General features: G+C 51.9%; 1 protein-coding gene across 31 annotated transcripts in view, besides 2 other annotated features; it reads right to left on the reverse strand.

Moving 5' to 3' along the window:
• Positions 1–1,107: 1,107 nt before the first annotated feature.
• Positions 1,108–26,276, reverse strand: part of NINL (ninein like) — a 132,835-nt gene continuing 107,666 nt past the window's right edge. For 26 of the 31 annotated variants that reach the window (NM_025176.6, XM_047440021.1, XM_047440027.1 and 23 more), the window contains 8 exons: positions 24,454–25,500; positions 18,402–18,506; positions 15,800–15,869; positions 10,794–10,952; positions 9,933–10,046; positions 6,794–6,940; positions 4,084–4,197; positions 1,108–2,053 (listed from right to left, as the gene is read on the reverse strand). In NM_025176.6, the coding sequence (NP_079452.3) occupies positions 1,862–2,053; positions 4,084–4,197; positions 6,794–6,940; positions 9,933–10,046; positions 10,794–10,952; positions 15,800–15,869; positions 18,402–18,506; positions 24,454–25,500 (1,948 nt within the window). In that variant the 3' untranslated portion in view covers positions 1,108–1,861. Of the gene's footprint in view, positions 2,054–4,083; positions 4,198–6,793; positions 6,941–9,932; positions 10,047–10,793; positions 10,953–12,933; positions 13,463–15,799; positions 15,870–18,401; positions 18,507–24,453; positions 25,501–26,276 lie in introns of those variants that run through there. The other 5 variants (NM_001318226.2, XM_047440033.1, XM_047440032.1 and 2 more) reach the window with 3 other exon arrangements.
• Positions 18,725–18,774: an enhancer, noted in NCBI's record as "active region_17670". NCBI's record gives its function as "activates an Ori minimal core promoter by ATAC-STARR-seq in GM12878 lymphoblastoid cells {active_cell/tissue: GM12878}" and the evidence as "EXISTENCE:reporter gene assay evidence [ECO:0000049][PMID:35858748]".
• Positions 25,236–25,736: an enhancer, noted in NCBI's record as "H3K27ac-H3K4me1 hESC enhancer chr20:25457461-25457961 (GRCh37/hg19 assembly coordinates)". NCBI's record gives its function as "activates a minimal SCP1, AML or CMV promoter by ChIP-STARR-seq in primed H9 embryonic stem cells {active_cell/tissue: H9 hESC(primed)}" and the evidence as "EXISTENCE:reporter gene assay evidence [ECO:0000049][PMID:30033119]".

Genomic DNA, 26,276 nt, shown 5'->3' on the forward strand with positions numbered 1-26,276 from the left:
AGTTCTAGGGTACATGTGCACAATGTGCAGTTTTGTTACATATGTATCCATGTGCCACGTTGGTGTGCTGCACCCATTAACTCATCATTTACATTAGGTATAGCTCCTAATGCTATCCCTCCCCCCTCCCCCTACCCCAGGACAGGCCCCGGTGTGTGATGTTCCCCTTCCTGTGTCCAAGTGTTCTCATTTTTCAATTCCCACCTATGAGTGAGAACATGCGGTGTTTGGTTTTCTGTCCTTGTGACAGTTTGCTGAGAATGATGGTTTCCAGCTTCGTATTGGGGGACAGATTTCTAATTTAGTTCCATTGTGGTCACAGTACATACATTGTATGGCTTGAATCTTCGTAATTTTTTGAGATTTGTTGGCCCAAGATATGGTCTGTCTTGGTAAGTGTTTGGCTGCATTTGCTTCTACTGGTGTCGTGTGGTGGGTTCTAGATGTCAGTAGATTGATAATGTTGTTCAGGTCTCCTGGTTACTCCAATCTCGTTACTCCAGTCTCAGACAGAAGCCCAAAGTGAATGAAGAAGTGTACTCCTCAATGAGTTTTGACAAATGCATACACCCATGTAACATAAACTGTATTAGGACTTACATATTAATAACTGGTAGAACTAGTCCCCATACATTGCTCTTCTTTCTTCAGAGTTTTCCTAATTGTTTTGTTTGCTTATTTAGTTGTATGTAAAAACTTTAGAATGTCTTGTCCAATTCTGGGGTTGATTGGGGCATGTAACATCTGTATTTATATTGGGATTAATTACATTTATCATCAGTAAACTTTGAAGAACCAGTCAACTTCATGTTGCCGAATCTTCCAAAGAACCGACCTTTCCATCTGTTCCAGGCTTTGTTATCTTTCCACGGTGCTGTGACATTTTTCTCCTGCAGAAAGGAGAAGACATGCCAGCTTTGGGATGGCGGCTGCCCCGGGAAGAGGGAGGAGGCTGAGAACAGAACAGGCTCCCGCCCTCCACAGTGCTGTGGCAGGATATTATTCTTACTAGATATGTTGATGGGCACATGGGTGTTTCTTACATAACTATTTTCCTCTATGTTTGAAATATTTTATAGTTTAAAAAATTAAAAACAAACTTAGAAGTCAATTTTAATAGAAAAGAATTTATTGCAAATACAGTGACTTTTTATATTACAGTAGTACATTCCAATCAGCCATATGGCCATAATTTGCATACATTTCAAATATAAAACTATACTTTTTTTTTTTTTTACATATAGTACAATTTCCAGTGTGATGACATTTCAATGGGAAAAAGATTGTGCATTTGCAATAAACACCATCATTCCTGAGTCCACAGATAAGGTCCCCGGAGAAGGGGCTTCCCCTCCTTTCTCGCTGGGTTGACGTTCCCAGCGAGTGAAGCCTTTTCTGGAATGTGTGTACGCACCCTCCACCAAGAGTTCTAATAAGCTAAGCTTAAAGCAGAACAGTGAAATGGCAAAACTGTACAGAGCCCTGACTTTACATTTCACTCTGACAGCCAGGGTCGGAAGCACCACATGGAAAGTGCTGTCCATAACTGCTCACTTACCTGCTCCTTGCTGACAGCTCCCAGGATCTGGCTCCAGAGAGTGGCAAAACTGGGAATTTTGCCAAGGGAAATTACTCAGGACCGCTAATAAAAACGCCGGCTTCTGCAACATGCATATTCCCCCAGCCCCCACCTCCATCTTGCCCAGGGCAGACCATTCATTAACTATCTGCGGGGTGAACAAAGAATCCCAATCCTCAGATGTCCCAGGACTCATGGCTCATGACCCACGGAATCTAAGGCAGCACAGTGGCTTAATTTAAAAGATGTGCTTTCGAATGAATCCTAGAAAATAATCTGTCTTTACACAGAGAGGGCTGCGGGGGCAATCCTACTGACGAGTTTGTTGAGAGCGCGAACTTTTTCTTCCAAGAGGCGGCTTTGTTTCTCGGCGCCTCGCTGCTTCTCCTCGGTGGCCTGAAGTGCTCTCACCAGGTGGGCGTTCTCCACGTACAGCTCCTTCAGCAGCAGGTCGGACTTCGTGTTCTTTTCAAACTAGAGAGGGGAGGAAGCCATGCTTTGCATGAGGCCGGTGGAGAAACGCTACAGATCAGCCTGCTCTCTTTTATCCTCCCAGGTTTACGCAAACCACAGTTTTGGGCTCTTAGAAATCTGACCCAAGGCCGGGGGCAGTGGTTCACGCCTGTAATCCCAGCACTTTGGGAGGCTGAGGTGGGCAGATCCCAAGGTCAGGAGATCGAGACCATCCTGGCGAACACGGTGAAACCCCATCTCTACTAAAAAATACAAAAAAATTAGCTGGGCGTGGTGGCGGGCGCCTGTAGTCCCAGCTACCCGGGAGGCTGAGGCAGGAGAATGGTGTGAACCCGGGAGGTGGAGCTTGCAGTGAGCAGAGATCGCACCACTGCACTCCATCCAGCCTAGGCGACAGAGCAAGACTCTGTCTCCAAAAAAAAAAGAAATCTGACACAAATACTGGATTATAATGACAAGTTTTGTTACCCTGGCATGAGAGGAAATTGAGAATCTGCTGGGCTATGTGATGGAGAAAACTTGAGGCAGCTTTGTGCCGTGAAACAAGGACTTCAGGCAAAAGTGGCCAGTCCTCAAAAGGCCCTGGGACGGTCAGAGTGTGGAACAGGTTCATCTGCGTATGCGCTACTGGCTGTGATGTCAGCAAGGCCAGGAGCCAAGAGAAGCAGGGGAGGGAGCAGGCGCAGGACAGGCAGTACTGAGGCCCTGGGCTGTGGCCTGTGCTCAGGGCCAGGGCAGGTATGCAGGAGCCACAGGATTGAACCAGAAGTCAGGTGTTGCTGGCGAGACGGGCAACTGAGGACTGTGGGTGTGTGCCAGGGAGAAAGGGTGAGAGGGACCGGGGGCACCAGTAGGGGAGGAAGCTGGGCAAGGACGGGTGGCCCCAGGGAGGGACTGGGAACCTTCCACAAATGCCTTGTCTAGCTTGGGCTGAGCTCAGGATCCCTCATGTAGACCAAACCATACTGGATCACGATGGAGCAAAAATACTTCTCCAGGTTTTCATATTTCTCTTAATCCTAACACTGAATGTGGTCCGTGGCCGGGCCTCTTCTGTGTGTGCACCCCACACCCGTGGGGTCCACCCACACCCTGTGCCATCAGCCCTCAGGGCACAGCACTGCTGCACGTCAGTTCCCACCTGCTGAGTTGGACTTCGAACATCTACAGACCAGGTGAGTTATGGCACCTCATTTTTGGTCTTTGCTCCTTACAGTAGCCCAAGTGACTTTTTCCCTAGTATGGTTTCTTTTAAAAGATAGATCCTGTCATGCTTTTACTTAAAATCTCCCTATGCCTTCTAACTGCCATTATGATAAAACCCAAACCCCTGACCTTGGCTTCTAGGATACACACGACAGGCACTGCCTACCTGAGCCCTACCAGTTCACACCAGCCATGGCGGCCTCCTCCATGGCTGTCCGCTGCCTGGAATGCACCCTCCTCGGAGTCCCCCAGACACGAGGAGATGTGTGCATCTCCCACCCACTGAGCCTTCCAAATGCCACCTGGCCTCTGCTGGGGACACAGCTGGACGTTCCTGTGCTGGTCACTGGGCATCTGACCAAATGCTGGCTCTTCAAAGTGGCCTTGACCACCCCACCGGCTCCTTCCACCTCTATTCTCTCATTTTCAGAGCACTCATCATGGCCCGAGGTCATGTATGCTCTATGGAAGCATCTGCCTCTGTCTCCAGAGGGTCAGGTCTGGGATGCAGGCTCAGCCCTGCTCATCTCAGGTCTACCTGGGAAAGCTTAGACCAGAGGTGCTTGGGGATGCCTGAATGACTACATGAACAAATGAACGGATGAGTCCTTTCTGAGTGTATGTGAACACCCAAAGGACAGATCTTAAAACCATTCCCGGAGGAAAATAAATGAATGTGCACCTGCAGTGTAGGGTATACATTTAGTTCCCTGGAATTCTGTGACAAGACAGCCTTTTCCTGTATTAGCTACCTGCACACCCATAAAAGTGGAGAGCGTTCAGAAGAGGACGTGAACACGAAAGCAGCAGCGCCCATCACTCACCTGCTCCTTCAGCTTATCCACTTTCTCTTGGAGGAGCATTTCCATATTCTTCAGAATCATCTCCGCCTCTTCCACCCGCTCTTCTGTGGCTTTCAGCTGTTTCTCATGTTCTTCCTGCCATAAAAGAAGGTTGCAGGTGGCCGGGCATGGTGGCTCACGCCTCTAATCCCAGCACTTTGGGAGGCCGAGGCGGGCGGATCACCTGAGGTCAGGAGTTTGAGACCAACCTGGCCAACATGGTGAAACCCCATCTCTACTAAAAAAAATAGAAAAATTAGCCGTGTGTGGTGGTGCGTACCTGTAATCCCAGCTACTTGGGAGGCTGAGGCAGGAGAATCACTTGAACCCAGGAGGTGGAGGTTGCAGTGGCACTCCAGCCTAGGTGACAGAGCAAGACTCAGTCTCAAAAAAAAAAGAAAAATTAGCTGGGCGTGGTAGCGTGCACCTGTAGTCCCAGCTACTTGGGAGGCTGAGGCAGGAGAATCACTTGAACCCAAGAGGCAGAGGTTGCTGTGAGCCGAAATAGCACCACTGCATTCCAGCCTGGTGACAGAGTGAGACTCCATCTCAAAAAAAAAAAAAAAAAAAAAAAAAGCCAGGTGCAGTGGTTCACAACTGTAATCCTAGCACTTTGGGAGTCTGAGGCGGGCGGATTACCTGAGCTCAGGAGTTCGAGACCAGCCTGGGCAGCACAGTGAAACCCTATCTCTACTAAAATACAAAAAATCAGCCGGGCATGGTAGCGGGCGCCTGTAGTCCCAGCTACTCGGGAGGCCGAGGCAGAATAATTGCTTGAACCCAGGAGGCGGAGGTTGCAGTGAGCCAAGATTGTGCCATTGCACTCCAGTCTGGGTGACAGAGCAAGACTCCGTCTCAAAAAAAAAACACAAAAAACAAAAACAAAAAGGTTACAGGCAATATTTTACATTTTAAAAAGAATCAGCTCAAGGCTATTTATTTTAAAATGGAAATTAGTGGCCTAGTGAGGTGGTTTACACCTGTAATCCCAGCACTTTGGGAGGCCAAGGCGGGTAGATCACCTGAGGTCAGGAGTTCAGGACCAGCCTGGCCAGCATGGTGAAATCCCGTCTCTACCAAAAATACAAAAAATTAACCAGGCATGGTGGCAGGCACCTGTAGTCCCAGCTACTCAGGAGGCTGAGGCAGGAGAATTGCTTGAACCCAGGAGGTGGAGGCTGCAGTGAGCCGAGATCGCACCATTGCACTCCAGCCTGGGTGACAGAGTAAGACTCTATCTCAAAAATAAATAAATACATAAAATGGAAATCAGCTCAAATGTACACATCTGACAGTGACTGTGGGTAACCTTTCATCTGTCCAGAGCAAGGGTTTAAAAATGTTCTGGCCCAGGGCCGGGCGCAGTGGCTCACACCTATAATCCCAGCACTTTGGGAGACCGAGGCGGGTGGATCACGAGGTCAGGAGATCAAGACCATCCTGGCCAACACGGTGAAACCCCATCTCTACTAAAATACAAAAAATTAGCTGGGCATGGTGATGCGTGCCTGTAGTCCCAGCTACTCAGGAGGCTGAGGGAGGGGAATTGCTTGAACACAGGAGGCGAAGGTTGCAGTAAGCCAAGATTACGCCACTGCACTCCAGCCTGGCAACAGAGTCAGACTCTGTCTCAAAAAACAAAACAAAACAAAACAAAAATATGTTCTGGCCCAAACCACACAGCTTTCCTTTCTCTTTGCAGTTCAGGGAGAATCAGCAGACTCATTTGTCCTCAGAGAACTGGTCCTAAGATTTTAACCATAAATAACTCCAAAGCGAGCTTCCCTCGCTGTGTTAGTGTATTCTTCTAGGGGGATTCTCCTTAACTTTGTCAATAATGTAGCATCACTTAACTTTAGCTTGACCCCTTTGTGTGATGTTACAAGGTTGTTCTTCATTAGAACTTACACTTTACAAACATCAAATGTTACCCACTTTTCAAGTCGTGCGCCAATTCCTTTCTCATGAGGGTGTCCCCTGCCCTCTGGTTCCTGATCTCTCCTGAAGTCTGTCCCTGATGAACTATGAACTATGTTGGGAATTTCAGGAGTGAGTTATTCTCTCAGACTTTTGAATTAAACTCCTGCATAGGGCACAGCTGTGCTGGGGACCCTTCAAGTGCTTTAAAGTCGCCAACCCATTGATGCCTCCCAATAAGCCTTTTAGGTGGACACTACTGCTAGCAGGACTTTACAGATGAGGAAACTGAGGCACAGAGAGGTTCACTTGCCCAAGTTCACTCAGCTGGGAGGTAGTGGGCGGGATCCCACCCTCCACAGTCTGTGCTCCGAGCTACTGTCTCCCATCTCCCACCACCTGCACTGCCCACGGCACCTGCCGGGCCCAATCTGTCACCCTCTGCTCTCTGCCCTCGGCCTCTGGTCCCTGTTCCCCTGGAACATGCCAAATACCCCCTACCCCAGGGCCTCTGCTGCTCCCCTGCCACATGGCGCCACCGCTCCTTCACCCCATTCAGGTCTCACCATCTCAGGGGCCACCTGTGAGGCCTTGTCTGGCCACCCTGTTTAAAACCACACTGCCTCTCTCCCTACAGCCTTCCTTACCATCTGACATGCTACATACGTGACTCATGTATTCACAGTTGTGCAGCTTCTGGGTAACTGAGGACCGGTGGGCCCGCCTCACCCTCCTCCTCATCTCGTCAGCCATCTCTCGCTGCATCCCCACTTACCCGCTGTGCATCCAGGCGCCTCCTGGCCTGCTCTCCCTGAAGGCTGAGCAGGCGATGCAGCTCGGCCACACGGTCCTGGGGCACCAGCCGGACCTCCTGCAAGTGCTGGGCCTGGGCCTGCCTCAGCCTCAGGTGAGCTCCCTGCACCTGCATGGGGAAGGGGAGACAGCTCTGGTGGGGCTGCTGAGACGCGGCACAGAGGAGCACCCTCTCCATCCAAGGACACCCCCACCTGCAAGGGCAAGGAAAGCGTGTGCTCCCGAGTATGCAGCAGCACCTGAATATTTAGAAGGAGCCCATTTCTTTGGAATTCGGACAGCCAGGCTGCTGTCAGCCAGCGCTTCCACACAGTGCTAGAGTGCAGAAAACATGTCCATCACCCTCAAAATGGTGACGCTGACCTCCTGTCAGACCCAGACTCTGCTGCGTCCAGTGTTAGCTTCCAGTGAACCTTGCTGGGGCCTGATTCTTTTCAAACAACGACCACGCCAGTTCTCCTTTCAGCGGAGACCTCACTCTGCAACAGGGCTACACTGGCCACAGACTACCCAGACAACACGGACTGCTGAAGGGAAGGTGGGGCCAGGGCTGGAATTCCTGGCAGCGCCTGGTTTCCTGGATGGCACTGTCTGCTGGAGGTGGGCTGAGCTGTTACAGTAAACTGTGCACCACTATGCCAGCCACTTTAATGAAGCAGCTCGAAGCAAGATCCAAATACAATTTACATCCAGTTGACTGGAGGCTTCACCAGGATTTCTTTGGCACCCTATAAGAACTGGCCACGCCACCCCTTACTCACCTGAGACCCCAAGACGGAGTGGGAATCACGCACGCTCCATCGGGGTCATATTTGGGCTGGGCCTGACATCACCACATGGTGGAGGAAGAGGGAAGGCAACACCCTGCGCCACACTGCCAGGTCCGGCTTCCCTTCAGTAGTCCCTGCACTGACTCAGCCGAGCTGGGGGCCTGTCTTGGGGGGGCCAGGTCATCACTGTAAAGCTCACCCTTCTTCAGGACGGGGGTCACCCCAGAGAGACACACCTGCACCCCACATTTTCCAGGCCCTGGAAGGCAGCTTATGGTTTGAGACAGAAAAGGAGGGAAGAACCAGTTCTAAATAGCATCTCCACCAAACGCAGCCTTCTCCCGAAGGCTCGTCTCAAGACGGTCACTCTGGCTGCCGCCGCCCAGGCCTGCGGGACTCCCACGCATCAAGCACATCTACCCACCCAGGAAGGCTCTGGCCCGGCACCCCAACTCCCTGGGCTCTGATGCTTGCAGGTCCTTGGACTGCACCACCCCCCACAGCCATCCTGGGACCGAACCCCCACTAATTAAGCCGCTCCACAGCATGGCCAGGGTCCAGCCCAAGGGGGATCTCTGCCCATGGTGGGCAGCCTGTAAACATCTACTGAATGGAGAGCCATCCAGTCCTCTTCATCTCCTTCCTTGGCAACGCGAGACGGGCCACATCTACAGACCTTGACAGTCACAGGGACAGGGAAAGACGTCCCCAGGGGAGCACTGGAAACAAGGACATTTGTGTTCTGGGTGCTGGAGTGAGGCAGAGCGGCAGATGGGGCATCATCTCCCATCCTGAGTGCAGCCACCCTTCCTGTCCTTCCCGTGGAGAGGGCCCTGTGAGTCCCCATCCCTTTGCCCTCTGAGCTCCCCTGGGAGACCCTCCGCCCTCTGAGCTCCTCTACGAGGCCCCATCCCTCTTGTCTGCTCTGGCCTCTGGGGCCTTCCTCCTGAACCACACATGGGCATGACAGTGACTGCCCTAGCTTCCCTCCCACATGGAAACGGCAACCACATCAGCTTCAGGCCCAGCCTCTCGTGGCCACTCTTAGGGAGCCCCATCTGCCTTTTCCAGAGTGTCCTGAGCTACCCTGGAAGCCCCCAGCTTCCTGATGCTGACTGGAAGCCACGTGCTTTGGGGGAGCGTCTTCCTCTAAATCACGAGGAAGAAGGGGTGACCCACATGGCTGCAAGGACAGACTTGGTGAGGTGCTTCCCAACTGAGAGGCTGGTGGCAGGCGTGGCCCCAGGGGTGTGGAATGCTCTCCCTTGGCCCCAGCGGTGCCTCCCAGCGCCAGGTGCTGAGGAAGTGCTGGCCTTTTCAGGTGGCCTTACTCCTCACCTCAAAGGACTCGAACTGGCCCAGGCAATTTTCCAGGGTTCCTTTTAGACTCAAAAGTAGAGAAGGGTGCCTCAAATAGGCAGAGCACCTCTGGAAAACTGACAGCCTGTAGCTGCAAGGCCAAGAGCCTATGGGAGCCCCAACAGCGCCTCAGAAAGCTCTGGGGTCCATGCCCAGCTGACCCCTCTGTGCCTCAGGACGTCTAGGGGGAGCCTCTGCACAGGGCGCCAGGGCCAGCGCCGGGGGGGACCAGGTGCAGAGGCTCAGCCGAGCCTCACAGGCAGGTGGGGAGAGACCCTTTCCCACAGCCCCCTTTCCTCTCTGTAGCCAAGCTTCCAAGTGTGCCCCGCACCTGTGTCCACACTGGGCACTCGCCCTCTGGGCACCTTTGGCCGTTACACACCTGCTCTTCTCCTCTCCCTTGAGCCACCCCCTCCACAAGCATCCCCTGAGCCGGCTCCCCTCCCTGAGGCCCCTGCTCGGCTGCCCCTGCACACACCTGTCTGTCCCGGACCACGAGCCCCTGCCACCATAGCCCAGCCTCCTGTGTCTGCACCTCCCGCGCCTCTCACCTGCGGGGCCAGCAGATGTGGCACCCGGAGGCGTGTACAGAGGCCAGTGTCATGCATGCCCATGAGTGCCCATGTCACCCCACTCCCAGGGCTGGAGCCTGCTGCCTTGGTTCTGACGACACAGTCCCCAGGCTTGCCTCTGGCTCCTCCATTCTGTGGAGGGCTCACCCACAGGCATGGTGCCCGCACTCCTTCCCTCGGGAGTAAACAGTCACTACTCTTCACGGGGCTTGCTGACAGTCAAACCAACCCTGCACTGGGAGCAGCTTCGGTCCTGGCCCGGTAAGCACCTGGACAGCTGTGCCCAGCAGCGCAACTACTTCTTTGGGCTGGAGGAGGCCTGGCAACACCGTTGGCACTGCGGTGATGCTGCTCCCAGGTGGGACTGGACCCAGTGCCTCCAGCCATCGCTCACACCCACCTGGTCTTGACTTTCCTCAAGGGTCTGGGTCAGCTCTGACCATGGCAGCTGCAGGCTCTGATGTTCCTGATTCAGGCATTCAAGTTCAACTCTAAGTTTTTGGATTTGGTCACTCTGTTTTTAAAAAATCAATTGCACAAGTCAAGAAGTATCTGAAGAGTCTGGTATGTAATTCGTGCAAAAACCTCAGAAAATTACAGAAAAGAAAAAAAGTACAAAATTTAAATCCCTGTGAACCCACCAACCAAGGCCGGCCCTGTGTCCTGCAGTCACTCCCCGGCCCCTCCTCTACACACACGCATCTCCCTGGTGAGACAGTGTCAGGTGCGCCACGCACTGCAGGAAGTGCCTTCTCCTCACTGCAGTGGGAGCGTTTCCTGGGGCATTAGTTATGATTTGAAAACATGGTTTTCAGTGGCTGTGCTGTGATCCAGTGACTCCCTCAGCTTCTGTTGGTGACTCGGCCGATTTCAGTTCTGCTTTGCTATTATAAACAGCACAGCAAGGAAAATGCTGCAGCTGCATCCTTCCACAAGGCTCTCGGGAACATCCCCATCGGAATCGTGAAGTCAAGGCATGTGGACTTTCTTCAGCCTCTAAGTGTGTATTTTGCCAAACTGCCCTCGGGGAACTTTGTACCAATTCACTCCTCTGTCAGCAGCATATAAAGCTATTCTGCTATTTTCTTTAGATACTGGGATTTGCCAACACAGCACAGTCCACCTACTTCTCCAAGGCATGCTTGGGAAGTCCCTCACTTCCCTCCAGGCTCCTCAGCGCGTGTCCTGACCTATTTGCAGCCGCCTCCCCACCCTGAGCTCCCAGCCTCCAGCTCAGCTCCCTGCGGCTGAGGCCACCCACCTGCTGCTGCCCACTGCGAACCACCTCCTCCAGGCTCTGTGTTAACATCTGAATGGTCACACGATGCTCCTCGTTTTGGGCCTGGTGGGTAGAAGCCTCCTGTCCCAGTTGAAGAACCCTGACATTGAGCTGGGATAATTGATCCTTGTAGTTCTGATTCTGGGGGAAAAAGTTTTTAAATACATAAGAAAAAAATGTTTTTAATTTTCATGTTATATATACATTTGCCCATCATTGGCTATATTTTTATTAAGTAGTCATTTGTTTTGTTTTGTTTTGTTTTGTTTTTCAAGACAGGCTCTCGCTCTGTTGCCCTGGCTGGAGTGCGGTGGCACATTCATGGTTCACTGCAGCCGTGACCTCCTAGGCTCAGGCGATCCTCCCACCTCAGCCTCCCAAGTAGCTGGGACCACAGGCACACGTCACCACTCCCACCTAGTTTTGTTTTTTGGTCGAGACAGGGTCTCTAGCTGTGTTGCCAAAGCTGGTCCCGAACTCCTAGCCTCAAGGGATCTTCCCATCTCAGCCTCCCAAAGTGCTGGGATTATAGGTGTGGGCCACTGAGCCCAGCCCCACCTTGCCCCCTAAAATACTTTTAAGCCAGCAGCTCAATTCATATCATTGTAATTGCTCTCAACCAGGTACAACTTTGCTCCTGAGGAAATGTCTGGCAATGTCTCCAGGTATTTTTGGTAATCACAGCTGGAGATGGAGGCATGGGGGCACTTGACACCCTACAACACAGATGATTTGGCCCCAAACGTCACCAGTGCCGAGGACAGAAAGCCCTGCTCCAGCCCCTAGGAAAAACACACACACATCTAGGCCACCAGAAGGGAGTATATGCCATGACCGTCCAAACCACTGTTTGGAAGACCTTTCACGTTTTTCTCATTTCCTCCACGATTATTTTAATATATTTAAAAATATATGGCAATTTTAACAAAAAAGCAACCTATTTAAACTTGAGGTACATGAATCTCTTAAGTCTCCTCTGATCTCAGTCATTGAACACACAAGCGTAGCTCTTGGCAGGGTACATAGGTTCATCAAATTGTATGTTTTGCTTTTTCTCAATAGCACCTCCCACAGACAAAGGATTTCAGCAAACGTTCATGAGGGGAACCTGTGAGGGCGCAGTGCAGTGACAGCGGCAGGAAAGTGGCCCTGCGGTCTGGACCACGGAGGCTCTGCTGTCTGCAGCCACCTGTCAGGAACATCTTCATGCAACCATATTTCTGCTTACTTGCTTTTTCCCACCGCAGCTCCTGGGGGTTTGGAGTGATGTCCTCTGACCCGCTCTCAGCACAATCGACCACGCACACGTCACCTTCCCAGAGTGACGCCCACAACCACTGCCTTTGCTTCTATAGGTTTTACAGGCATGTAAGAAAACTGGGACGTTTTTCCATTTGGATTTACTCAAGATTAGGGAGTCCACGCATTTTTCTCATGCAATTCCTTGCAAATTAACCTCACCTCATCCCTTCCCTAGAACCTCAAGCCTCAGGTTAAGAGAAGCTTCCACCACGACATAAGCGTGTGGCAGTTGTGTATGGTATAGAGCTCATGTGTTTTATGACATTTTATTGTGAAAATTAGAATTGTTTTAATACTGACACACATTCACCTTGTCCTCTAAAGACAGCCTTGATTTCATGAGTAGAAATGGAATCTTCCTTCAGTTCTTGAGATAAACACAATAGTGGATTTTCTTCTATTCACCTTTAACATTTAAACTCTTCATTTGGTGGCTGGGCGTGGTGGCTCATGCCTGTAATACCAGTGCTTTGGGAGGCCGAAGTGGAAGGATCACCTGAGGTCAGGAGTTTGAGACCAGCCTGGCCAACATGGCGAAACCCCATCTCCACTAAAAATACAAAAATTAGCCGGGCTTGGTGGCACATGCCTGTAGTCCCAGCTACTTGGGAGGCTGAGGCAGGAGAATCGATTGAACCCGGGAGGCAGAGGTTGCAGTGAGCTGATATTGCACCACTGCACTCCAGCCAGAGTGACAGAACAAGACTCCATCTCAAAACAAACAAACAAACAAACAAACAAACACACAACAAACTCTTCATTTGGAAATAATTTCAGACTTGAACAGTTGCAAGACTAGAACATCACCAGGGAAACCAACCTGCCTTCCATCCCAGCTCCTAGCCGACAACACTCCCCCAATCTGCTTTGCCCCCTACACACACAGGCGCACACATGATGTCTTCCCTTCTCCACAGCCGCCTGCCTCCCGGGGACAGCAGCTCTCACGCGGCTGCTGTGCAGCTACTGCTTCAGGACAGTGGCCTTGATGTCCCCACACTTCATTTTGTCAACGAGCCTGGCAGCATCCTTCCCGGCACAGGATCAGCTGGGCCCTGTCCAGCTGTTTCAGCCTCCTCAAATGTGGAATGTCTCCTCAGCTTCTGTGTCTCATGACTTTGACATTTTTTGACAAATACAGTTCCACCCCCTCCCATTTGGGGTTTGTCTGGTGCTTCCTTGTGACTCGAGTGACAAGTTCCTGGGCAGACACTGTGCAGGGAGCTGCATCAGGAGGCAGAGATGCTATCTGTTCCTGGTGGCGTTCACGCTGGCCACCTCTTAATTTTGAACTTGCATTCATCTGGCTTTCACTGCAGAAGCCAACATGAGATGTCAGCAGCTGTCTCCTGGGTGTGTGTTAAAACAAATGACATCTGTGTCAAAATATGTTCACTCTGCATCTGCTCCAGCCTTTAGGCCTAATTTCCAGTTTACAAGGCAGACAAGTGACATACGACCAGAGTAGCCTACACTCTCAGAAAACAACTGGACAGATCCAGAATGTGGGATGGCCCACGGGACCACTACTGGGGCTCTTCCAAAAGCCAGTGTCATGGGGAAAAACAGGTCTTCTAGATCAAAACACCAAAGGGACCATGCAGGGGATGTGTTGTCCAAAGAAGCCTCCAGAAGCCTCTTCCATCCCACATCCTCTTCTGAAATGTGACCTGAACACTTGCCCATCAGAGAAGCCTCCCCCGCGGCTCCAGGGACTCAGTGGGAATAACGTAGAGTGTGACTTCCGAGGAGGGCTTGGGAGCCATGCGCCTCCCACCAGCTGCCCTGGAACACTAGCTCCCTGACACCCCCCACGACACTCCTTCCAGGTCCAGCCCCATGAGGAGAGGCCCCAGACAGACACAAGCAGAAGGGGTCCCCGACGACTCCAACCCTGGCCATTAGGTCACCCCAACTGTCCAGCCTTCCCAGCCGAGACCCCACATCACAGAGCAGGGACGGCCGTCAACGCTGTGTTTGTCTGAATGCCTGACCCACAGGTGCCATGAATGCACTCAAGTGGCTGGTTTATGCCAGCAAGTTGATCTGATAGCTAAACATGGCTGAACAGAGTCATAGTTACACACAATGTGGCACCCCCAGCTGCACCCTACTGCCAGCAACCTTGTTGTGCAGGACACTTTTTAATAACTGAAAAAATGAGAATATGGTCTGAATACTGATATGAGGTAACTACTGCTAAGTTTCTTAAGTGTGACAGCACTCCTTCAGTGTGGCGAGGCGGGAGATGCACTTCCTTTTAAGAGATGCCTGTTGAAATATTGAGAAGTGGAGTATCATGACATCTGGAACTTATTTTCTATTATTATTATTATTATGAGAGACAGGGTCTCACTCTGTCAGGCTGGAGTGCAGTGGTACGATCTCTACTCACTGTAGCCTCAACCTCCCAGGCTCAAGCCATCCTCCCACCTCAACCTCCTGAGTAGCTGGGACTATAGGCACATGGCAGCATACTCAGCTGATTTTTCTTTTTTTTGTAGAGATGGGGTTTTGTCATGTTGCCCAGGCTGGTCTTGAACTCCTGGGCTCAAGTGATCCGCCCACCTTGGCCTCCCAAAATGCAGGGATTATAGGTATGAGGCACTGCACCCGGCCTGTAACTTGTCTTCAAATGGTTCAGAACACACACATACACATGCACACGTGAAATATATAGATATGAACAGAACTAAAGTGCAGGTGGCAATGCGGATAACAGTTGCATTAATGTTGTGGATGTATGTGGATGATCACTCTATATTGTTTCAACTTTCCTGTGTTTAAAGTTTTTCATGGTAAAATTTTTGGGGTAAGCCGGGTACAGTGGCTCACACCTATAATCCCAGCAATTTGGGAGGCCAAGGCCAGCGGATAGCTTGAGGTCAGGAGTTCGAGACCGGCCTGGCCAACATGGTGAAACCCTGTCTCTACTAATAATATAAAAATTAGCCACGCATGGTGGTACACACCTGCAATCCCAGCTACCCTGGAGGCTGAGGCAGAAGAATTGCTTGAACCTGGGAGGTGGAGGTTGCAGTGAGCCAAGATCGCACCACTGCACTCCAGCCTGGGTGACAGAGTGATAATGTGTCTCAAAAAAAACCCCCAAAATTTGGGGAGTGTCCAGGCAGTGTTTGACACCTATAATCCCAGCATTTTGGGAGGCCAAAGCTGGAGGATTGCTTGAGGCCAGGAGTTTGAGAGCAGCCTTGGCAACATAGTGAGACCCTGTCTCTACTAAAAACACAAAAGATGGGCTGAGCATGCTGGCGTGCGGCTCCCCAGGCAGGTCATCTCCACAAGCAGCTGGGCCTCGGGCCAGTGCAGAGCCTCAGGCACTCACAACACAGACAGTGCCTGCCTGCCAGCGTCTATGAGAAGCTGCTCACAGTTTCTAGATCAAAACACCAAAGGGACCCTGCAGGGGATGCCTGTGGTCCCAACTACTGCGTGCCACATGATTCTGAACATCCTTGGGACCACCGGCAGATTTGACTGGGGCAGGGGTCTTCACAGCCGTGTTTAGTGTCTGACTTTGATGGGGCCTGGGGGCCAGTCAGCAACTCACTGTCAAGTCTTTTAGAAGAATATTCTCTACTTCCTTTTGTAAGTTTAAAATGATTTCAAAATAATGAAAAAAAGGAATGGTGGCATGAGCTCCATGCCAGGCGTCGATACGTCACCTGTCTGTTGAGCACCTCCATCTCAGAGCAGGCCTTTTCCTTGTCTTTCTTTAAAACCTCAATTTCCTTCCTGTTGAAGAAGCACAATTAACAGTGATACCACTTGTGACCAACCAGTGCCTTCTTTCCTGGTCAGCACCCAGGGTAAGAGCAGCATGGGGGTTTGTAGCCACAGCAGAGACGCCCACACCTGCCCCTGGCATTCTCCAGCCCCTCTCAGTCCCTGCTGTTGCCACTACTAATGAAGACGACGATCCCGTCTTCCATGGTTTATCCCAAACCACGAAGACTTTAGGAATGTGAAACTGTCGGATTACTAGAGAGCCTCTAGTAATCTACACTGCCAGCACTGTAAGAACGCACACCCTGCATGACATTCCTCAATCAAATACATGAATATTTCTTTTGTAAAACACATAACACTTCACACTCAGCAGAGTGAATAGAGACCGAAACAGCCTGCATCTCCGGAGGTATGCCATCAGCAGGGTCCTCACAGACTCAAGAAAACCAGAGAAAAAATGGTTTCTAAAGGAAAACTAGCTTTGAGATTTCGGAAGTGCTGTCATGGAAGGGCAATCCCTGGGTACCTGCTTGGGACTCGCTACTTTAATCACCATGGCAATTCCATCATTTCAGAATTACTGTCTATGAGAACTAAGCTCACCTTGAGATGCATAATTGGGAAAAAAAAAGGCCAAACAATTGTCCTTGGATATGGCTACAGTAGTGACAGCAGAAAGCCACCCTCCCCAGAACACACATTCTCCCTTCCTCAGTCCCAGCCCTTCCCCAGCTTGCACTGAGGGGACACTCCTGCTCTGTCCCCTGACTCTCGCTGATGGATGCCCCCTGCTCTGTCCCCGCCAACTCTCACTGACAGGCACCCCCCTGCTCAGTCCCTTGACTCTCACTGATGGGTGGCCCCCCGTCTGGTCCCCCAACTCTCACTGGTGGCCTCCCTGTCCCCACTGACTCTCACTGGTGGCCTCCCTGCTCTGTCCCCCGACTCTCACTGGTGGGTGCCCCCCTGTCCTGTCCCCTGACTCTCACTGGTGGGCACCCCCCTGCCCTGTCCCCCGACTGTCACTGGGGGGCACCCCCCTGCCCTGTCCCCCGACTCTCACTGGTTGGCACTGCCCTGCCCTGTCCCCCGACTCTCACTGGTGCGCACCCCCCTGCCCTGTCCCCTGTCACTGGTCTGTGCCCCTCTGTCCTGTCCCCTGACTCTCACTGGTGGGCGCCCCCCTGCCCTGTCCCCCAATTCTCACTGGTGGGTGCCCCTCTGCCCTGTCCCCTGTCACTGGTGGGCGCCTCTCTGCCCTGTCCCCTGACTGTCACTGGTAGGCGCCCCCCTGCCCTGTCCCCCGACTCTCACTGGTGGGCGCCCGCTTGCCCTGTCCCCCTGACTCTCACTGGTGGGCACCCCCCTACCCTGTCCCAACTCTCACTGGTGGGCGCCCCACCGCCCTGTCCCCCGACTCTCACTGGTGGGTGCCCCACTGTCCTGTCCCTTGACTCTCACTGGTGGGTGCCCCACTGTCCTGTCCCTTGACTCTCACTGGTGGGTGCCCCACTGCCCTGTCCCCTGACTCTCACTGGTGAGTCCCCCCTTGCCCTGTCTCCCGACTCTCACTGGTGGGTGCCCCACTGCCCTGTCCCCCAACTCTCACTGGTGGGTGCCCCACTGCCCTGTCCCCTGACTCTCACTGGTGGGTGCCCCACTGCCCTGTCCCCTGACTCTCACTGGTGGGTGCCCCACTGCCCTGTCCCTCGACTCTCACTGGTGAGTGTCCCCTTGCCCTGTCCCCCGACTCTCACTGGTGGGCGCCCGCCTGCCCTGTCCCCCTGACTCTCATTGGTGGGCACCCCCCTACCCTGTCCCAACTCTCACTGGTGGGCGCCCCACTGCCCTGTCCCCCGACTCTCACTGGTGAGTACCCCCTTGCCCTGTCCCCCGACTTTCACTGGTGGCCGCCCTGCCCTGCCCCCCTGACTCTCACTGGTGGCCCCCTGCCCTGTCTTGACTCTCATTGGTGGGCGGCCCACTGCCCTGTCCCCTGACTCTCACTGGTGCCCCCACCCCCATCCTCTCTTGCCTCAGTGCTCAGGTTCCTGACCCTCCCCACGCCCATCCCCTCCCCCAGCTCTTGTTCACTGAAACTGATAAACCAGCAATGACCCTCTGAGGAAGGCAGAGCTGAAGCTGTTATCAGGAGAGGATCCTAGGAGCACCTCTGACCCCTACAGACACTGTTGTGGCCTCCCCCAACCCCTAAGTGCGACGTGCATCATCTCTGTGGGGTGAACGGCGCCTGTGCTAGGGCTCTGCTCGCAGTCCCGACCATGCTGTGGGCACTCTGCCTCACTTCCCACACCAAGGAGCTGGGGCGTTCAGGTGCCGCCCACACGAGGAAGGAGGCCAGAGCCTCCCACATCTGCCGAGTCGTTCAGAAGTTAACAAGGCTCATGGTTTAGGGTTTTCTGGAATGCAGGGCTAATCTGAGAACACTTCCCACTGTCTATATGGAGACTGCATAAGGTCACTCTACGGAGGGCAAAACGCACCCCCAGAAGGTCTGGGTAGGGGCGTGGCCCTTACCTCTGTGCATCGTGAGTACTTTCTGCAGCTTCAAGCTCTTGCCGAACCCTTCCCAGATCGTTTTTCAACAAAGTGTTTTCTTCAGAAAGTCTATGGAACTCCAGTCTGCGTAAAAATTGAGAAAAGACCGGTGAGCACTTGGGGAGCCACATGTGGTCACGGAGGCTGGCTCTGCAGCGGGGAGTCCTGAGAACTGTGCGTCCCCATCTCCCCGTCCCTGGAGGTGGCGCCAGACACCATTCCTTTCCCTCTTCCTGCACCAGGTGTTAACGTCTTACATCTCCCATGAGCCAAGCCACAGAAAACGGAACTTTCTTAGCTTCTACACTGCCACGCCATCAAGTCACAAATGCACTCAGAACCTTGGGTTTTGCTTATGCTGAGTTTATAGCTGAACTGCTCCTGCATCTATGGCCTCTCACCAAACGTGTGTCCTGGTTGCCAGTGCTGGGCGTGAGTCCTCAGGTACTGCAGGGTACTCATGCCCTGGCAGTGAACTCAGTGTGGAGCTAAGAAACACAGGAATCAGAAGGCCAAGATATATGGGAAACCTCTGCTAGGTGAATCTCAAAGTGGGAAAAGGCAGGGATAGACAGCCACTATGTGAACCAAGTCTGCCTGGGCCGTCTTTGTTCTCTGACAACTCAGGGAGTCCCTGCTTGGGTAATGCCATTGATTTGATAGATGAAGATGGCAATTTACCAATGAAGATCACTAATGGGAGCCAGGAGTGGCGGCATGCATCTGTAATCCCAGCTACTGGGGAGGCTGAGGCAGGAAGACTGCTTGAGCCCAGGAGTTTGAGACCCTCCTGGGCAACATAGTGAGACCTTGTCTGTGAAAAAACAAAAAAGATCACCAGTGAAGTAGCTTAAGACCCATACTTGCTACCCAGAGAATGCATTCTTAATACTGACTGGTAAGGCTAACGTGTATTCCCCAAATAGGTCTCCATATGGTACTAGCTTCTTATTTTTTCAGTCTGAAAATACTGAAAGCCACATGATCTCACCATGTTCACTTCATGTATTTTTTTGTTTTTTCTTTGAGATGGGGTCTCATTCTGTCACCCAGGCTGGAGTACTGTGGCACGATCATGGCTCACTGCAGCCTTGAACTCCCAGGCCCAGGAGCTGGGACTACAGTAGGCATGCGCCACCACGCCTGGATAATTTTTGTTGTGGTGGAGATGGGGTCTCGATAGGTTGCCCAGGCTGGTCTCGAATTCCTGGTGATCCTCTCACCTAGGCCTCCCAAAGTGCTGGGATCACAGATGTGAGCCACCACGCCCAGCCCGCTTTATGTATTATACTTATAATAGTAAACATAAGTATCTTCTTCATATGCCTTCATTTTATCTCATGAGGAACTAAAGACAAAAATAAATAGTCACTGGAATTAAAGGCAGCAAAGGGTTTCAAGCAGGAGAGTTCTGTGTTTTTAAACTATCACTCTGGCTCTAGAATGGAGAACAAGTTGATGCAAGGCCGAAAGCTGAGGGGTGCCCTACCCCATCCCCCACATGACCACCAAACAACTAGATCCTGCGCAAAGCTGATCGCAACCTCTGTGACTGTCCTCATGGAAAGAAAAGAAAACCTGCAAGAATCTCCAAACAAAACAAAATCCTGGAAGCTGAAACCAACGCGTGAGCACTATGCAACACAAAGCTGGGGGGACCTTGCAACCAATGCCTATGTGTCAGCACTGCTATTAGCAGAATGGAGAAGCTGCACTGTGGACACCTGCACCAGACAGGGCCCTGGAAGGAGGTTCAGACAGTCCCAGATTAGCACCTTCTCACTTCTCTGCAAAAGCAATAGCATCCCATATAAGGCTCTTTATATTCCCAGAGATTAACATCAAGCAAATATGAGCTCACAATCAAAGATCACCATAACATACATGGAGCAAAGCCACCCATAAATGACAGCAGAAGCCAGAAGCCAGAATTCAATCCTCTAGAAACTGCAGGTATTGGACTTATTAGACACAAACTAAAAATAAGTGTTATGAAATGTTTACATAAATAAAAGACAGCAACAAACAATGAACAAGCAACAAGAAACTATTGACAATGATCAGACAGGACCAAACAGAATTTTTAGAAATGAACAAAAAGTCAATGTCAAAATAAAAACTCATGGGATGGTTTAAATAGCAGATTACACAGAGCTGAAAGAAAGAGATACTGACCTGGAACACATAGGTATGTAAAAAATACCCCAAATGTGATACAGACAGAAGATGGAAAATATAAAAGAGAGGTTGAGACATAAAGTGAAATGCTCTAACAGTCACATATCTAATTGAAGAAAATAGTGGGAGGAGAGGATATATATATATATATATATATATATATATATATATATATATACTTTTTTTTTGTTTTTGAGACGGAGTTTTGCTCTTGTTGCCCTGGCTGGAGTGCAATGGCGCGATCTTGGCTCACTGCAACCTCCGGAGAGGCAATATTTTAATAGTAATGGCTGAGAGATTTTCATGAGACACCAATGCAATCCATACATTCAACAGGGAAAATATTTCTTTTTTTTTTTTTTTTCCCTTTTGCTCTGCCGCCCAGGCTGGAGTGCAGTGGTGCAATCTCAGCTCACTGCAGCCTCAACCTCCCAGGCTCAAGTGATCCTCCCATCTAGCCTCCCAAATAGCTGGGACCAAAGGTGCGTGCCACCATGTGTGACTAATTTTTCTTAAGTTTTTGTAGAAAACAGTCTCCTTATGTTGCCCAGACTGATCTTGAACTCCTGGGCTCCCAGAGTCCTGGGATTATAGGTGTGAGCCACTGTGCCTGGCTGGGACAATGTTTTCTAAGTAGGATGAACAAAAAGAAAACTATGCCTATACCCACAACATAACAATCCCATTTCTAGGTACAGCCCAACATAATGCTCCAAAAGACAAATGCAAGAACGTTCAGTGCAGTTCCATTTGTGAGAGCCAAAAACTAGGAACTACCCAAATGCCCATCAACAGGAGAAAAGAATAAACTGTGGTATGTTCACACAACAGAATACCACACAGCAATGCAAATGTATGAACTACAGCAACAACACAGATCAATCGCACAACCAGGTTGAGCCAAGAAAGTCAGACACAGAAGAGTACACACTGCATGATTCCTCTCCATAAAGTACAAAAACAAGCAAACTGAATCTATGCTGTAAGAAGTGGTTACCCCGGGGACTCTGGTGAATTCCATCTCTTGTTCTGGGCGCTGGTAACACAGACGTGTTCAATTTGTTGACAATTCTCCTAATTGTACAAATATATACATTTTCTTATGTGTATCACACTTTAATAAAAAGTTAAAAAGAGGCTGGGCATGGTGGCTCACACCTGTAATTTCAAGGAGGATCCACTTTGGGAGGCTGAGGCAGAAGGATCGCTTGAGGCCAGGAGTTTGAGACCAGCCTGGGCAAAATAGTGAGAGACTATCTCTACAATGAATAAAATAAAATAAAATATAAAATAAAATAATAAAATAAATAAAATAAAATAAAATAAAATAAAATAAAATAAAACAAAGTGGCCAGGCCTGGTGGCTCAGGCCTTATGTAATCCCAGCACTTTGTGAGGATGAGGCAGGCAAATCACTTGAGGCCAGGAGTTCAAGACCAGCCTGGCCAACATGGTGAAACCCCGTCTGTAGTAAAAATACACACATACACACACACACACACACACACACACACACACACACACACACATCAGCTGGGCATGGTGGTGGGCACATGTAATCCCAGCTACTTGGGAGGCTGATGCAGGACAATTGCTTGAACTTGGGAGGCAAAGGTTGCAGTGAGCTGAGGTTGTACCACTGCACTCCAGTCTGGGCAACAGAGTGAGACTCCGTCTCAAAAAAATAAATAAATAAATAAATAAAAAGTTAAAAAGAAAGAAATGCACACAGCAAATAAAAACCACTAAAGATACAGGTCTCAGAAGTAACCAGAGCACAAAAGTCAGATACCTACTGTGGATGGCACAATACTGGCCTCTAACAGAGACTATGTGACATTACACAGCAGGGGGAATGAAGGCTGCTCGTTCTCTGACTGTAGATTATTCTGGATTCTCCAGAGGAACCCAACGTAATCACAAGTGTCCTTAGAGGTAGAAAGTGGAGGCAGAAGAGTCAGTGTTGGAGTAAGGTGACATGAGGAGGACTCGGCCATCCAGGGCTGGCTTCCAGGATGGAAGGACGCCTCAAGTCAAGGCCACTGGAGAAGGTGAGGCAGGGAGCTCCCCTCGGGGCCTCTGGATGGCCCTGCAGCCCTGCCAGCACCTCATTCCTAGCCCAAGGAGACCCTTTCCTCTTCCAACCTCTAAAACTAAAACATCGCACTTTTGTGCCTTGTTAAGCCACCAAGTCCGTGGAAATGCACACGAAGGAAGAACAGACGGACCAAGGGCCAACCATGCAGTGTCAGCAACCGGGTCTCTGACACGGACAGCAGACATTCCAAGGGTGGAGAGGCGGCCATTTAATGGCTAGATGTGCGTTCCTAAGAATACTGTCTTACAAAAATGAAGGAACATTTAAGATACTTTTCAGATAAGCAAAAACAGGAAATTTACTCTAAACAGAGTTTCACTAAAGGAACTTTTTTTTTTTTTGAGATGGAATCTTGCTCTGTCACCCAGGCTGGAGTGCAGTGAGTGGTGTGATCTCGGCTCACTGAAACCTCTGCCTCTCAGGTTCAAGCGATTCTCCTGCCTCAGCCTCCCAAGTAGCTGGGACTACAAGCGCATGCCACCATGCCCGGCTAATTTTTGTATTTTTTTTTTTTGGAGACAGAGTTTCGCTCTTGTTGCCCAGGCTGAAGTGCAGTGGCGCGATCTCAAAACTCACTGCAACTTCCACCTCCTGGGTTCAAGCGATTCTCCTGCCTTAGCCTCCCGAGTAGCTGGGATTACAGGCGCACGCCACCACACTAATTTTTGTATTTTTAGTAGAGATGGGGTTTCACCACGCTGGCCAGGCTGGTCTTGAACTCCTGACCTCAGGTGATCCACCCACCTTGGCCTCCCAAAGTGCTGAGATTACAGGCATGAACCACCGTGCCCTAGTTGTTACGAGGTTTTAAATTCCTGATTCCTGGTGGTGCACGCCTGTAATCCCAGCTACTCAGGAGGCTGAGGCAGGAGAATCGCTTGAACCTGGGAGGCAGAGGTTGCAGTGAGCCCAGACAGCACCACTGCACTCCAGCCTGGGCCACACAGCGAGACTCTGTCTCAAAAAAAACAAAAAACAAAAAACAAAAAAACCTCCTAACAAAGCCCAGGAGCTGATGGCTTCACTGGTGAATTCTACCACTTAAAAAAGAACTTCCACCACCTCTTCTCAAACTCTTCCAAGAATTGAAGAGAAGGGAACACTTCCAAACTCATTCTATGAGGCATTACTTGATACCAAAGCCAGACAAGGACACTACAGTCCAGAAAAGAAAACTGCAGACCAATCCCTTATGATGCAAAAATTGATGCTAAAATCCTCAACAAAATACTAGCAAAAGTTATTGTTTAATGGGTATACAGCCTCTTCTGGGAACAACAATGAAAAATCTTTGGAAGCGAGGGCCGGGCGCAGTGGCTCACGCCTGTAATCCCAGCACTTTGTGAGGCCAAGGCGGGCAGATCACCTTTGAGGACAGCCTGGCTAACATGGTGAAACCCCGTCTCTACTAAAAATACAAAAATTAGTCAGGCGTGGTGGCAGGTGCCTGTAATCCCAGCTACTTGGGAGGCTGATGCACAAGAATATCTTGAACCCGGAAGGTGGGTTCAGGACCCCGAAAGGCAGTCCTGCCCTCCCTCTGCCCAGTGGTAGAGCACCAGATGACCGTGGCATTCCGGGACGGGGCTGGGCTCACAACCCCTACTCAGGCTGAAGGGCTACACAGCCCCCATCAGGGGCTGCGAGCTTGTCGGCAGGAAGGGCCACATAGCACCATTAGCAACAGGGGTCAGTGGGTTAGTTCTGCATTTTTAGTTTGAAGTGTTTAGTTTTAAGAATGAGTAGAAGGCAAACCTGTCGTTCTCTCTCAAATCTACATGTTTCTCCAGAGCCCGGACGACGTCTTCCAGATGTAGAAGTTTGGTTTCCATGTCATCCTTCTCTCTCTCCAGCGCTATTTTGGTCTCCCCCTCTTCTGGGGCAGCAAGCTGCTCCTGCCAGGAACCCTGCGGGTCTGCGAGCTGGAGGTGGGATGGCAAGGACCCTCTCCTGGCAACCTCCACACTGTGCTTGTGACACCCAGGCTCCAGGGCGCCCTCGGCCCGGGCCTGCTGCTCCGAGGCCTGCTCCTGGGTGCCCCTGCTCCAGCTTCGTGCTCGCTCTTCCTGAATGGCCTGTAGCCTCTCAGCCTGTCCCCTGCACGAAGCGGCCGGCCTCAGGGGTGGCTCCCACATCCGTGGCTGGGTTTGCGAGGCGTCTCTCTCTGTTCCCAGCAGAGGCAGCTCCCGGGCTCCAGGCTGCTCCAGCCCCGCTGCGCTCGCGCCGAAAGGCTCTGGCTCCTTTGGGACAATATCCCCATCCACTCCACAGGGCTGCATGCGTGACCACCTCTCTGAGGGGCCGTGGGATGCCGGGGCAGGGGCGGGGGCCGGGCTCTGCGTAGCTTCTGTGTCCTGGGCTTGCCTGCGGCGAGGCCCGGCTCCTGCCGCCTCCTCAGACTCTCTGCCATCACCTGGGGCCAGCCAGGCCAGTGGCCGCTCCCCACAGCCCGGACGCAGTGGTAGGAGGCCACGTGTGCCCTCCTGGCCACTTCCTGCCACCAGCCCATCTTTCGGCAGGGCCTGCATCTCTGCTTCCAGGGAGGGCCCGTCCACTCGCTTCCCGCGGGCAAGCTCCAACTCCTCCTCCTCGAGGGCCAACGATACGCACATCTGGGCGCGCTTCTCGCTCGCACAGGGCTGCAGCTTCAGTGCCCTCTCCAGCTCCAGCTGCTCCGACCTCTGGCTCCCGCGTGGCAGGGGTCCCTGCGGCGGCTCCTCCAGCTCCAAGGTCAGGTCTCTGCGAGCGGGCAGGGCTCCCAGCCCCGACAGCTCTCCACTCAGCTCCGCCTCAGCCTCTCTCCTGTGGAAGTAGAACCGTCACACACCACAGCCCTGCCGCCCCCAGCCCCTCTCTCGGGTTTGAAGTCTGCCCAGCTGTTGCAACGGCTGCGACCTCCTCTCTGTGGTTGGCTTTCTTTATCCCTCCTCGCCTCCCTCAGCCCTGGCTTCAACCTATACCCTGGGCCCTACTTCAGAGTCCAGACGAGGATCCGCCCCACGGAGCGAGGTTCTGCACATGGAAGCCCAAGCACGAACCCTTTCCATGTGGAGTGTTCACATGGAAGATGGCCGCCACCATGCAGGACCTGGTTGCAGCCCCTCGGCCGTGCAGGCCACGTTCCAAGCCCTCAAGGCTCCCAACTGGACAGGGCAGACATACGACGTGGCCCACACTGCAGTGGGTTCTACACGATAGCGCTGGAGACCCAGAGCCAAAACTGTCCCCTAATTCCCTGAAGCTGCTGGGCCTTGGGACCTCTGGTGGCCCGCAGGAGAGTCCAGTGGAAGTGAAGTGAGAGCTGGCAAGACCACAGCACCAGAAGGGGTATGTGGTCCATGCCTGGCCAGGGCAAGGGGAGCAAGGAAGTGGTTGGAGGGCCTCCACCTCCAAGCATTGGCAGATCGGGAGCCCTGCAGAGCGGGGACAGCAGCTCCCCAGGAGCAGGCTGCTAGAGACAGCTCCGGGTGGGGGCCAGGTGCACAAGGGCCTGGATGCTGAGAGGAGAGGGGCTGCTTGTGCCTGCCCCTCTGTTCCCACTGGGGTCTGCAGGGACTCTGACCCAATCTCTTACCACA

Source organism: Homo sapiens, chromosome 20, assembly GCF_000001405.40.
Source record: "Homo sapiens chromosome 20, GRCh38.p14 Primary Assembly".
Lineage (NCBI taxonomy): Eukaryota > Metazoa > Chordata > Mammalia > Primates > Hominidae > Homo > Homo sapiens.